The 13,184-nt window shown below is 43.7% G+C and overlaps 1 protein-coding gene, 1 long non-coding RNA gene and 1 other non-coding gene across 3 annotated transcripts in view, besides 4 other annotated features; all 3 read right to left on the bottom strand.

Moving 5' to 3' along the window:
• Positions 1 to 1,630, bottom strand: part of LOC105378198 (uncharacterized) — a 46,805-nt gene extending 45,175 nt beyond the window's left edge. Inside the window, exon 1 of the long non-coding RNA XR_001742904.2 lies at positions 1,364 to 1,630. This is a non-coding gene — a long non-coding RNA (uncharacterized LOC105378198). The remainder of the gene's footprint in view (positions 1 to 1,363) is intronic.
• Positions 1,168 to 2,367: an enhancer, noted in NCBI's record as "P300/CBP strongly-dependent group 1 enhancer chr5:140090124-140091323 (GRCh37/hg19 assembly coordinates)". NCBI's record gives its function as "activates an origin of replication core promoter dependent on BRD2, BRD4, P300/CBP, MED14 and CDK7 cofactors, with strong dependence on P300/CBP, by STARR-seq in HCT116 cells {active_cell/tissue: HCT116}" and the evidence as "EXISTENCE:reporter gene assay evidence [ECO:0000049][PMID:35650434]".
• VTRNA1-1 (vault RNA 1-1) lies at positions 1,533 to 1,630 on the bottom strand. Its single transcript, NR_026703.1, has one exon.
• Positions 1,977 to 2,026: an enhancer, noted in NCBI's record as "active region_23289". NCBI's record gives its function as "activates an Ori minimal core promoter by ATAC-STARR-seq in GM12878 lymphoblastoid cells {active_cell/tissue: GM12878}" and the evidence as "EXISTENCE:reporter gene assay evidence [ECO:0000049][PMID:35858748]".
• On the bottom strand, positions 6,220 to 12,459 carry ZMAT2 (zinc finger matrin-type 2). The gene is made up of 6 exons (NM_144723.3): positions 12,428 to 12,459; positions 11,994 to 12,087; positions 10,777 to 10,900; positions 8,915 to 8,988; positions 8,335 to 8,480; positions 6,220 to 7,293 (listed from the first exon to the last, which is right to left on the bottom strand). Exons 1-6 carry the CDS (start codon positions 12,443 to 12,445, stop codon positions 7,150 to 7,152), a joined length of 600 nt encoding a protein of 199 aa, NP_653324.1. The 5' UTR covers positions 12,446 to 12,459; the 3' UTR covers positions 6,220 to 7,149.
• Positions 9,627 to 10,169: an enhancer, noted in NCBI's record as "NANOG hESC enhancer chr5:140082322-140082864 (GRCh37/hg19 assembly coordinates)". NCBI's record gives its function as "activates a minimal SCP1, AML or CMV promoter by ChIP-STARR-seq in naive H9 embryonic stem cells {active_cell/tissue: H9 hESC(naive)}" and the evidence as "EXISTENCE:reporter gene assay evidence [ECO:0000049][PMID:30033119]".
• Positions 12,131 to 12,200: an enhancer, noted in NCBI's record as "active region_23288". NCBI's record gives its function as "activates an Ori minimal core promoter by ATAC-STARR-seq in GM12878 lymphoblastoid cells {active_cell/tissue: GM12878}" and the evidence as "EXISTENCE:reporter gene assay evidence [ECO:0000049][PMID:35858748]".

Genomic DNA, 13,184 nt, shown 5'->3' with positions numbered 1-13,184 from the left:
ATCCCAGGAGGGAGAGGTTGCAAAGCTAAGATGGTGCCACTGCACCCCAGACTGGGAGACAGAGACAGACCCTGTCTCAAAAAGAAAAAGAAAATTAAGAGTCTCAGAGATATAAAAGAAAATCACAAAATCACAAGATATCAGCCTGTGCTCCACTCTCCAAAAAAGGGCTTCCTATTTGGGGGAAAAATGCATTTTGTTCTACCAACAAAAGAGGGCACTCCAGCCAGGCGCAGTGGCTCATGTCTGTAATCCCAGCACTTTGGGAGGCTGAGGTGGGTGGATCACCTGAGGTCAAGAGTTCGAAACCAGCCTGGCCAACATGGTGAAACCCCGCCTCTATTAAAAATACAGAATTAGCCGGGCATGGTGGCGCATGCCTGTAATCCCAGCTATTTGGGAAGCTGAGGCAGGAGAATCGCTTGAACCGGGGATGCGGAGGTTGCACTGAGCCGAGATCGCGCCATTGCACTCCAGCCTGGGCAACAAGAGAGAAACTCTGTCTCAAAAAAAAAAAAAAAAAAAAAAACGAAAACAAAAATAAGAGGGCACTCTTCAAGTAAGAAAGCTGGTAAGGCACCCAAACTACTGCCTCATTTGTAATTGCTGAAACTGGAAAATAAAATATTTCAAAATGCACAGAAAATTGCAGACATGGTATATAGAAAAAGGTTAAGTGAAAATCAATATTTTTTTGAAAACTAACCATGAAACCAGAAAACTGAAACACAGTACTTCAACCTAAATTAGATAACCTTAAGCAATCATTTGGTAACATGAAAAAAATGCCATGAATCAGAAAAATAACTCAGAACAGAAATGGACAAAGAACAAAATAAGCAGTTTGTAAAAAAGCAGGAGATATGGAAGAAAAAAAATCTCTGAAAAGAAAACTAAATCATAAGGAAAGCTTTTCCAAAGAGGAAAAACTTTTACTTAAAATATAATAACTGGTATTGAGGAAAGGCATTAAAACAGCCAATAAAATAAAAATAAAATCAAGAAAGCAATTCAAAGGATCAGAGAGAAAGTGGTATAGAGGCAAAGATCCAACATACATTGCAGTCCCTGAAGAAGAATAAAATAATGGAACCGATGTAATCTTCAAAACTATAATAAAAAAAAATTGGGTCTACATATCGAAAGGAAACCTAGGAAAACTTATATGGAATGATCAAGTCTAAGGTATATCTTAGAACATCCATTAGATTTGAAAGAAAAAAATCCTGTGGGCCTCAGTAAAAAAGGGCGAGAAGATACAAGTATACAGGCAACTGTTAGAACAAACACATGAACATACTAAACATTGAAAAAACTTTAAAAGTTGAGTTTGGTTGTTCTTGGTTTTTAAGCATTTCCTTACTTTCTAGCTCTATGAGATGCTCCACGTCCATTTCTATATTTCCTGCCCAGTACTAAAATCAGCCATTTCTCCGAGGAGCCCTGATTCCTTTTACCATGGAAAGGGAGCTGAACTTCAGCAGTGAAAAGGACTGGAGAGCTCCCGCGGGTCTCGAACCGCCCAGAGAGGTAAAAGGACTGGAGAGCGCCCGCGGGTCTCGAACAACCCAGACAGGTTGCTTGTTTCAATTAAAGAACTGTCGAAGTAACCGCTGAGCTAAAGCCAGCCCGGAGGTTGCTTTCGGATTATATTTTATTGACTGGTGAGAAAGACCTACGTCACAAAGAGTGAGTCAAAAAGAGAGTGCTTCAGCATGACTCAGCGACCAGGACTGTCCAACACGCCCCCGACCTCCAGACAATTGAGGAGTTGTCCATCTGGGGACACACAGCAGTGACAAGGACGTAGCCTTTCCTAATCCCTGAAGAGCTCTTCCGCAGGTGTGTCCCCGGTTTACTGTCTCCTTCTCAGCAGTCACCTGGTCCACAACTCTCGAAACGCCCCCACCTCCTTCGCTTCCAGACTCTGCGCTCCCAAAACAACCACACAGGGTCACTTCGTGATCAAATCGACTTTTACAACTAGTGCTTGGGCCAGGGGAGTGGAGTCTTTACAAGGTGTAAATTGTATTTCAGACCTTATCTTAGAACTTCGCTGCTAAACTAGATAAACATTCCAACCCCCGCCCAGTGAAACTTCCTGTTACTCTTTTTAATTTTTTTAGAAACAGAATCTCCCTCTGTCACCCAGGCCGCAGTGCACTGGCTCCATCTAGGCTCAACCAATACGCCCCTCTTAGCCTCGCGAGTAGCTAGGACTACAGGCACAGGCCACTATGCCCAACTAATTTTTTTTTTGAGACGGAGTCGCTCTGTTGCCCAGGCTGGAGTGCAGTGGCACGATCTCGGCTCACTGCAACCTCCGCTTCCCGGGTTCCAGCGATTTCTGGCTAATTTTTGTATTTTTAATAGAGACAGGGTTTCACCATGCTGGCCAGGCTGGTCTCAAACTCCTGACCTCAAGTGACGCGCCCGCCTCGGCCTCCCAAAGTGCTAGGATTACAGGCGTGAGCTTTTTTTTCTGGCTTTTTTTTTCTTTTCTTTCCTCTTTTTTTTTTTGAGACGGAGTCTTGCTCTGTCGCCAGGCTGGAGAGCAGCGGCAGGATCTCGGCTCACTGCAACCTCCGCCTCCCGGGTTCAAGCGATTTTCCTGCTTCAGCCTCCCGAGTAGCTGGTACTACAGGCGCACGCCACCACGCCCAGCTAATTTTTGTATGTTTAGTAGAGATGGGGTTTCACCATGTTGGCCAGGATACTCTCGGTCTCTTGACCTCATGACCCACCTGCCTCAGTCTCCCAAAGTATTGGGATTACAGGCGTGAGCCACCGCACCTGGCCAAATTTTTTTTCCTTTTTCTTTTTCTTTTTTGAGACGGAGTCTCCACTCTGTTGCCCAGGCTGGATTGCAGTGGCACTACCTCCGCTCACTGCAGCCTCCACCTCCCGGGTTCAGGCGATTCTCGTGTCTCAGCCTCCCAAGTAGCTGGGACTACAGGCATGCGCCACCACACCCAGCTACTTTTTATATTTTTTAGTAGAGAAGAGCTTTCACCAAGTTGGCCAGGCTGGTCGCGAACTCCTGACCTCAAGTGATCCGCTGCCCTCAGCCTCTCAAAGGGCGGGGATTACAGGTGTGAGCCACCGAGCCGGGCCTTTTTTATTTTTTATTTTCTGTAGACAGGATCTTGCTATGCTGCTCAGTTGACCTGTAACTGCCCTCAAGAGATCCTTCCGCCTTGGCCACCCAAAGTGCTAGGATTACCCGTGTGAGCCTCCATGCCTGGCCTAAAAATTATTTCCATTTTTAATACTGCAGGAACATCTATTCCTTTTATGTATACTGTAAACAGCTAACCTTTCTTCCCTAAATTCCTACTTTTCTCCAATTAACCACTGTTTATATTTCAATGTGTATCCTTCCAGTCCTTTTCCTCAATCTGTTTATTTAACTGTACACAAAACGTAATTTTTCTTGGCTTGCTGGGAATCCAGTTGTTGGATATTGTTTACCTAACAGCATGTCTTGGAGATCCTTCTGATCACTGCGTATAAATCTAATTCACTTGTATTGTAACAGCTGCATTATATTCAAGTATAAATGTACTAGTTTTAAGTTTCACTAAGATAAAGCTGCAGTAATACACATCTTGGTACATATATGTACACATACACAAGTATGTTGTTAGAATATATGCTGGATTAAAGAATCTGCACACATATTTGGAGAAAGTTATGGGGGAAATGCAAGAGGCCTTGAGGGTGCCTGAAGCCACAGGATCATCTTTAATAATAAGGATCATCTTTTGTTCCCCAGGTACTCTGAAGGGCAATTCCAGCAGAATGTACATTCCATGACATCTGGGACTTTGATGCGTTGCCCCAGAAGATAATACCAGTACCTACAGCATGTTCACCTAAGCACTGGTCAAGTGGATATTACTCAACCAGAATGCAAACATTTCTATTGGTTTTAGTAAGACCTGAAAGAGGCTGGGCGCGGTGGCTAACGCCTGTAATCCCAGCAGTTTGGGAGGCTGAGGCGGGCGGATCATGAGGTCAGATGATCAAGACCATCCTGGCTAACATGTGAAACCCCCTCTCTACTAAAAATACAATAAAAAAAAAAAATAGCCGGGCGTGGTGGCAGGCGCCTGTAATCCCAGCTACTCGGGAGGCTGAGGCAGCAGAATGGCATGAACCAGGAAGGTGGAGCTTGCAGTGAGCCGAGATAGCGCCACTGCACTTCAGCCTGGGCAACAGAGCGACTGTCTCAAAAAAGACCTGAAAGCAGCTTCTCTTTGAGATTTCTGAGTTATCTGGGATTGCTGTGGGCTCTTGAATTTCCATTCCATTTACTTTTCCAAGATGCCACCCTGAGCACCTCCAGACACTCCATGACTTAGGTCCCTTTGAGACTCAAACCACTTAACCAGTCCCAAGAGTTTAAAGATTCTTAAATTCAGAATTGCTTTTTAGATGCAACCAGAGGTAAGATCCCACTGTACCAAAAAGGGAAAGACATTCTTTGAAGCTAAATTGAACTAGATGGTTTCCTGAAGAATGAAGCCAGGGGTGGTGGCTCATGCCTGTAATCCTAGCACTTGGGGAGGCCGAGGAGGGCTATCACTTGAGGTCAGGAGTTCAAGACCAGCTGGCCAACACGGTGAAACGCCATCTCTTCTAAAAATACAAAAAAATTAGCTGGGGATAGTGGCGGCCACCTGTAATCCCAGCTATTCAGGACGCTGAGGCAGGAGAATCACTTGAACCTGGGAGGTGGAGGTTGCAGTGAGCTGAGATCGTGCCACCGTACTCTAACCTGAGTGACAGTGACACTCTCAAAAAAAAAAAAAAAAAAAAAAAAAAACTGAACCATGGAAGGAACTCACAAACCTCCAGCCTGCCTTGAAAGGGGTAACAAAATACCTAGTCAACAAGAAGACTGTCACCCAAGGGACCTGAAGTGCACATAATCCTGCCAAGGAAAGCACGCACCAATCTGCCCCCAGTTGCCCAGTACTTACTGTATCTAAAACTGAGCCAGGCCTTCAGCCCATAGGTGAAGATACATTCAGTGTTCCCAGTGGCAAGATTCAGCATCAGAAATTAGACAAAGGGCATGTCTTACAGTAAGGGAATTTTGTACAAAAGTCCAAAGGGAGGTGTATGGTGCTTTGTGGTTCAGATAATACAGAAAGTTGAGGAGCTTGATGGGGCAGAGAATGAAAACCAGCTATATGGTGGCAGCCTTGTTAACCCAAACAGATTCATTTACAGGTCCATTTTTTCAGGGTATAGAACCAGCAAGTTACAGGCTTCATCTGCTTGAAGTTAATGTGACTGTAGTTCTTCGTGTATGTATGGCTATTTTTTTCTTCTGCATCCCCTTGACTTGGCATAGTACTTGATCCAGTGGATATCAAAGTTTTGTGAGTTTCTGTTTTGAGTTTGCCAGTCTGTGCCATCTAATTCTCAAATCAGACCAAGGTAGGGAAGACAGCTAGCTTCTTCTTAGTGGTCTTCAATGTGGGTAGGGAGGGATTTTGCCTTTCTCAGAGGCATAGACATTTTTAGTTGTCACAATTGTGGAAGAGGGTGCTACTGGCATCTAGCAGGTAGAGTCCAGGGATGAAGTTAATCCTAAATCAAAATCAAAATAATAAACATCCTACAATGCCAGCATTGGTTTCTACAACAAATGATAATCTGGCCCAAAATCTCAACAGTGCCAAAATTAAGTAATTCTGTGTCTAGCAGACAGTAAGAAAAACACTAAGGGCCAGGTGCAGTGGCTCACGCCTGTAATCCCAGCACTTTGGGAGGCCGAGGCAGGTGGATCACCTGAGGTCAGGGGTTTGAGACCAGCCTAGCCAACATGGTGAAACCCCATCTCTACTAAAAATACAATATTAGCCACTTGAAGCCAGGAGGCGGAGGTTGCAGTGAGCCAAGATTACGCCACTGCACTCCAGACTGGGCGATAGAGCAAGACTGTCTCAAAAAAAAGAAAAAAAAAAAAGAAAAAACATTATGTTCAATCCTGAGCTCTGCTGTTCCAAAAACAAAAGATCAAAGGAGTCTGAAATGATAGGAATCGTTTTGGTTCAGACTTCTCTGGACATAGATCCCTTATCAGACGAAAACATAACTCATGCTAAAAAAAAACCTAGGCAAAAATAAGATTTAAAATGGAAGAATAAAATACTCTATATGGAAATCCTCAGCATGAGAAGGAAAAACAAATATTCACAGGGAAGATTATGGAATGTTCTCACCAAATGTAAAACAGGCCCAGTCAATGCCATTTATTATACATGTCAAACAGCTTCTAAGACCGACGGGCTCCCATAATAAGGTTTTGGGGATTTTTTGTTTTGTTTTTCATTTTCTTTTTTGCATCAAACAGGTTCTTCCAAAAGCCTGCTCACAAGGTAGACAAAAACATAAATCTTCAGGAAAATGAAACATGAGAAGCTGAAACAATCTACACCTGAATGTTAAAAAACTCATCAGACACAAACCACACCAAACACTCATCCCATTTAATTTCCTGTTACATGCTCTGAGGAAGCCAAGAACATCAGGCCCCAGGGCAGCAATGCTCTAGGATTCCAGCTCGGACCCCCTCTATATGACAGATTCATGCACACACATCCACACACCATAGAACCAGGCAGAAATACACATGCATGCACAGGTGGCTAGAGAACCATAGGGCAGGATGGGAAAAAGGGCTGATCAAGGATATGCAATCAACTGGAAACTGGGACCTAGAGAATGCTTCTGTTGCAGGATGAACATGAGTTAAAATTAAAACAAAGGCAGAACACAGGATAAAGGTGGGATGTTCAGACAAGAGGTGGGATAGATGAAGAGATAAAGATGCAGGGGGAGTTTTGGGAAAGCAGCCTCAGAAGGGGAGGTTTTTCTTTATTGGGAACTCAGGTGGGCAGGGTCCTGTGACTCCAGTGATACACTGAGGCAGAAGCAATATGCCACAGCATTACCTCTGCAATCTGTGCCCTCTCCCAAAGTAGAGGGAAACCATGAGCCCCCACCCTCTATCCCTCCCCATTGACACTCTTAAGAACTTTCCCATTACCCAAAAAGAAATGACCCCCTACTACACACACACACACGCAAAGTTAGGTCCAGCATAGGCCAAAGTCAGGCCAAGCACAGAAAGCCTCAGTAACTCTTCTTGGTGGAACCAAAGCCAGAGAAGCCCATCACAGCTGCCATCTCATCGTCCTCCTCAAATGTCAAGTCCTCCTCAGCCCTCCTTTTCTTCTCCTTCTGTTTCTCTTTCTTGTACGCTTTGGCCTTTTCCTCCTGGAGGGAAAAATCACTCAGAATCAGTTTAGACTCCTCAGCCAAATGTTGTTTGTAACAACAACTAACATTCTGGGGCATGCAGTACATGCCAGAAATTGCTCTGAGTACTTCATGTATATTAAGATCTCTAATATGGGGATATTGAGGCACAAAGAGGTTATATAACTTGCCCAAGATTCACAGCCAGTAAGTGGAAGAAACAGAATTTTGACCCAGTCAGCCTGATTTCATGGGTCTCTTTAGGACTAGGTACATTTAGTTAATTCCTCTTGCAGTTAAAAAAAAAAAAAAATTATGGGGGAGGCTATGCATGTTGTGGGGGACAGTGGGTATATGGGAAATCTTTATAACTCCCTCTCAATTTTGTTGCAAACCTAAACTCCTCTAAAAAAAGTTTAGTCTTTTAAAAAAATTAAATCAAAGAATACAGATGAGACAGTCCTCAACTTATGATGCTGACAAGATTTTTCAATTTTATAATGGTGAAAAACTGACATGCATTTGAAACTGTACTTCAAGTATCCATACAACCATTGTTTTTCACATTCAGTACAGTATTCAATAAATTAATGAGATGAATACTTTATTATAGAATAGGCTTTGTGTTAGATAATTTGGGTCAATTGTAGGCTAATGTGTTCTGAGCACATTAAGGTAGGCTAGGCTAAACTACAGTAGGTTAGGTGTATTATGTATTTTTGACTTATGATATTTTTAACTTGATGATAGGTTTATCAGTAGGTAACCCCATCAGAAGTTGAGAAATATCTGTATGACCAAAAAAAAAAAAAATTTTTTTTTAAATTACAAAAAAAAAAATAAGGCCCAGAGAGTCTAGGAGAAAAAAGTAGTTTCAGAGCCATTTCCTTCAGATCATGAGAATCCTAAACAAAGGCAACAAATGTTTCCGCTAATATACAGAACTCAGGAGATACAACTCTGGGGGTGGGAGTAGGAGTGGGATGAGGACAGGGTCTCCCATGATTCATAACATAAAACTCAAATCTGGGGGAGAGGGGAAGGATAGGAGACCCTTACCTCTTCTCTGAGCTCCTTCATCCTTTCCTCAAAATCATAATCCTTCTGCTTCTCTTCCATCTTCTTCTTGTTGACCTCAAAACGTTTCTTCACCTGATCCAGGGTGGAACGTTCCACACGCATAGACATGCCCAGGTTTCTCTGATCTGCATAGGGTCAACAGTGAAGAAGGCAAGTTCATTACAACATCCTCAGCCCCTCAAAAATTATTTTCCTGACTTCTCTGACATCTCATAAAACACACAGCAAAAATAATTATGGCTAAAAGAAACTCCCTTGGCCAGCTGGGTCCAGGAGCAGCACATGGTTTGGGTGCTGTTGAAAGCCTCATGGCCTCCAGAATGAGGCCTCTTACCTCACGGCCTCCAGAAATATTACATAATGAAGTAAAAGACGGCCTGTGCTGAAACAACTGGAGAGTTCTAATAGGGGCATCAAAAAAGAGCCCAGTAGAAACTACCCTTCTTACTCCAGCCATCTTTTGATGAGTAAAAAGAAGAAAAAAAAAGCTACCCTTCCATTCCACCCCACCTCCAAAACCCAATTCCAGCCCTAGTCACAAGCTACCTCCAAGCCTTACGTTTCTTTCCATTAATGTGATCCAGAAAGTTGATGGAGTCCTTCACCACACAGTCACAGACATTGCAGTAATATCTAACAGGAAGAAACAGCACCTGAGTCAAATATGGTTTTAAGGATCTTATCATTTTCAACCAAGAAACTCAAATTTTTAGGTAAACTTCTTTTTAGAAGTGTTAAGCCTTCATTTCTATAAAGCCTTAGCTTTCGAGAGAGTATAGCAGTCATCTTCCAAGACAGCCCCAGGATGAGCCCCACCCTCTTGGTATTCCTACTCTGTGTAGTCTCTTCCCAATTTGTACCAGAGTTGGTCTGTTTGGCCAATAGAATATGTCAAAAGTAGTATCTTCCAAAATTAGGTTATTTTAAAAACCATGCCTTCTGTCTTTGTTTGGGTTACTTGCTCTGGGGAAGCCAGTTGCTTTATTGTGAGCAGTCTTATAGAAAGGTCTATGGGGTGGCCGGGCATGGTGGCTCACGCCTGTAATCCCAGCACTTTGGGAGGCCGAGGCGGGCGGATCACCTGAGGTCGGGAGTTCGAGACTAGCCTGACCAACACGGAGAAACCCCGTCTCTACTAAAAATACAAAAAAATCAGGTGGTGCATGCCTGTAATCCCAGCTACTTGGGAGGCTGAGGCAGGAGAATCGCTTGAACCCAGGAGGCGAGGCTGTGGTGAGCCGAGATCATACCATTGCATTTCATCCTGGGCAAGAAGAGTGAAACTCTGTCTCAGAAAAAAAAAAAAAAAGAAAAGAAAAAAGAAAAAGAAAAAAGAAAGGTCTATGGGGCAAAGAACTTAGGCTTCCAAACCACAGGCATGTGAGAGAGCTTGGAAGCAGATCTTCCAGCCCCACTTAAGATTCATATGAATGCAGACCTACCTTGCCAACTCCTTGATTGCAGCTTCATGAAGACCCTGAGCCAGAACCACCTAGGTAAGCCACTCCCAGATTCCTTACCCAAAGAAACTGTGAGTGGTGTAGTTTATGCTGCTAAGCTTTAGGTTAATTTGTTAATTTACATAACAATAGATAACTAATACAGACAGGAATGGACAACAGTGGGTTTACTAAGCAGCTCAGAGAAGTGTCACTCATTGCTATCTGTGTTGCTCTCCTGCCAGAAAACCTAACTGGACAGAGAAGCAGTGGGGGGCAAAAGGGTGACAAGCTCTTGTAGGACCCTTCTTCCTATAGGTTATAGTCTTGGAAGAAGGTGTACAATCAGGCATCCATAACAACTACAGCCTTTGCAGCTAGTCTGGAACCTCAAACCCCTCTTCTTCACCATTAACAACTCCTAGGCTCTATTCTAGCTCCACCTAATTTCTCTCCTAGAAATCTCCTCAGTAGTCCTTTCCTTCATTTCTTCTTCTGACAGATCAAATAATCCCTTTTAAAATATTAATAGTAAATCAGAATTGATAACAAGTACAATGGCAATAAAAAATTTAAAAACTATATTGAGTAGTAGCTGTAGTGCTCATAGTATGATTTTTGTTTGTTTTGGTTTTTTTAATTGAGACAGGGTCTCACTGTGTTACCCAGGCTGGTCTTGAATTCCTGGGCTCAAGCAATCCTCCTGCCTTGGCCTCCCAAAGTGCTGGGAATACAGGCGTGAGCCACTGTGCCCAGCCAATGCTAATAACATGAAGAAACCCACTGAGTGACCACTCCTAGAGACACTATCATGTCAACTTGAGACCTTGGGAGACACAGAAAAACAAATATAAAGATAGAATTACAGGCAAGAAGGACGTAATCCTGGGGCCAAGGACCTTCCTTAACACTTCCTAAAACCAAAATAGGTGGCTTATTAGATGCATTCTTGGCTGCAGAGGAAAAATGATAAGCAACTCACCCTCCCATCTCAGATTGAGGGGTTGTCTTGGTAATGACAATTGTCTTCCCAAGCTTGGATTCCAAGTCCACCTTGTAGTCCCTATGCCGTAAAAGCTCTCGCTTGACAGGCTGCACTGGTTTTCCTGAAACATAATGGGGAAGGAAGTCCCTTCAATATTATAGTTCCTCAACCAGAAAGGAAAAAAAATGCATGAAATCCAAAATTCAGGTCTTACTCATTTCAAAATCATTCCTGAAAGGACACAACAGACACTTAAAGTAGCAGCTGGGGAGAATCTCAACACAGGAAGAAATCATAAGCAATCCTCAACTCTACAGCTTTTCTCCACTTTAAAGCCAGCAAATCTAAAAACAGTATGTTTTATATTCATTGATTAACTGAATTGTGGGGGAGAATTTCTGAAGAATTACTAGAAGCAACTTTTTCAAAACGGGAGCAAGGACATTCAAGAATGCTTTCAGGCAGATACCCTAGGCATAACGGAAAGGAACCTTCTGAGAGCTGGGCAAATTTATAAAAGGGGACCAACATCTAGGAAATGCCTGTTACATGTCAAGCACTATTTATTTTACATGTTACATAAAAAATGAAAGAGTTAGTGAGTGCAAGGTGGCCTGGAGGTAAAGGGAAAGAAGAATGTACACGTTTGAAACAGATGACAAAATAAAACATTTCTTTATGCAATCTCTTAAACAGGAGAGAAGCACCAACTCCCTGATGTACAAGGCACAGAGAAACAGCACTACTAAGCTCTAGCTGAAACAATCACAGATCCTGCAAAGTTCCCCGGCTTTTCTCAGACTATATGGGAGGGTCTTGATTGGGCCAGGAATGTTCTCTCCCTTAAGAAATTTCAAGGGAAAGAGGGGGGTCACTGATAGCGGTAATGCACAGCAGCAAAATACTCTACTTAACTTCTCTGTCACTACTAAGGATGCCGTTATCTTCTCTGTACTTCAGGAAAGCATTAAACGAGCCAAGCAAAGGGTGGGCAAGGAAGCAGAGTGAAATAGAGCTGAAGAGCATCTCAAAACTACTTACTTCATCCCACCTCCTCGCTCTCATTTTGTAAATGCAGAAACCTAGGCCCAGGGAAGCAGCACTCTGCCAGAGCTTACACCGCGTGGGAAGGCAGCGCACTTCAACTCCCACCCGCTCTCCATCATCGCATCGCCTCTGTGATACCCTTAGCCCTTGATGTAGTTAGCACCCACCATCTTTCTTTTCTCTCTCTTCCGTGAGCCTCTTCTCGGCGAGTTTCTCATATTCATCTTTGTCCCACTTTCGGCGAAAGTCCAAGTTTTTTGTCTGTGGGGAGGAAAAAGCGTCAAGATCCGTCGCCGTGTCTGGGCCCCTAGAGAAGCAGGGAACCGCGCCCTCGCGGTCCAGGTGTCTACAGGACGTTTTGAAAGCAAAGCCTCTTTGGACTGTACGAGAAGACTGAGGTAGCCTCAAGACCCCAACCCGAGAAACCTCCGCGATTCTACTGACCCTCTGCCAAGGCCTATTACTGGGGAGTTCTTGAACCTGAACCCTGGGATCTCGAGGAGATATCGGGAAGCCAGTCGGGTGCAGGAGTTTGTCTCTATTCAGGTCTGAAAAACCATTCCCCACCCCGCAAAACCTCCTCCTCAGACACAACACCTACCCCGCTGCCCGACGCCATCTTCACAGCGAAGTGAATGGCGAGCTGAAAAACGCCGTAAAAAGCGGCTTGGAGCCGTAAGGCAAGATAGCCCTCCAATAAGCTTGGAGTCTTGTGTTCTAAACGAGCTAAGGACTGGAGGGTTTCTAAAACAGGCTTGTTGGCCCCGCCTCTGCTCCAAGGAGACAGCGCAGGCGCAAGAGGAGTATGAAGCAACACGGAAGTAAGGGCGCTTGCAATTGTTTTTTGCCTTGGATTTCAAAACAAGCATTAAAGGGTCAAGATTTAGTTCAACTATTTTACAAACAAGGAAACTGAGGTTCGCAAAACAGTGGTCTCTGATCTAGTCTAGCAACTTTGCGTCCACTGCCAAGAATTTCTAAACCTTTTTTAAGGCCGAAGCGCCATTAGGGGGTCTAGATGCCTCTCATTCACCTGCATGCACTAGGGATATGACCCTAAACTACACTGAAACGTTTGCAACAGAGGCACCCTTCCCGACGCACATATAAAAAGCATGTTTTGCACTTGGGCTCTTTTCCTTGAAGCAATGCTACCACCCTTTGGTTCACTTATTTTTCCATCATCTGGGGAACTTTATAGTAGAACATAATTTAATCAGCATAATTGGATTTGGAAAGGCCAGTCATCAACAACACTCTAGAGTGAAGCACTGTGGCATACCGGCTCACTATATGTTGATTTTTAGCAACAAAACTACCTCTTGGCCGGGCACAGTGGCTCATGCCTGTAATCCCAG

This window comes from Homo sapiens, chromosome 5 (assembly GCF_000001405.40).
Source record: "Homo sapiens chromosome 5, GRCh38.p14 Primary Assembly".
Classification (NCBI taxonomy): domain Eukaryota; kingdom Metazoa; phylum Chordata; class Mammalia; order Primates; family Hominidae; genus Homo; species Homo sapiens.
This window is presented reverse-complemented; position numbering and strand designations above follow the sequence as displayed.

Excerpts from the sequence above, each read along its gene's own strand:
- ZMAT2 (NM_144723.3), bottom strand. Across the intron at positions 10,901-11,993 it reads AGAGAGAGAAAAGAAAGATG|GAAAACCAGTGCAGCCTGTC; the intron begins GTGGGTGCTAAC and ends ATTATGTTTCAG. Across the intron at positions 8,989-10,776 it reads CCTCAATCTGAGATGGGAGG|ATATTACTGCAATGTCTGTG; the intron begins GTGAGTTGCTTA and ends TCTTCCTGTTAG.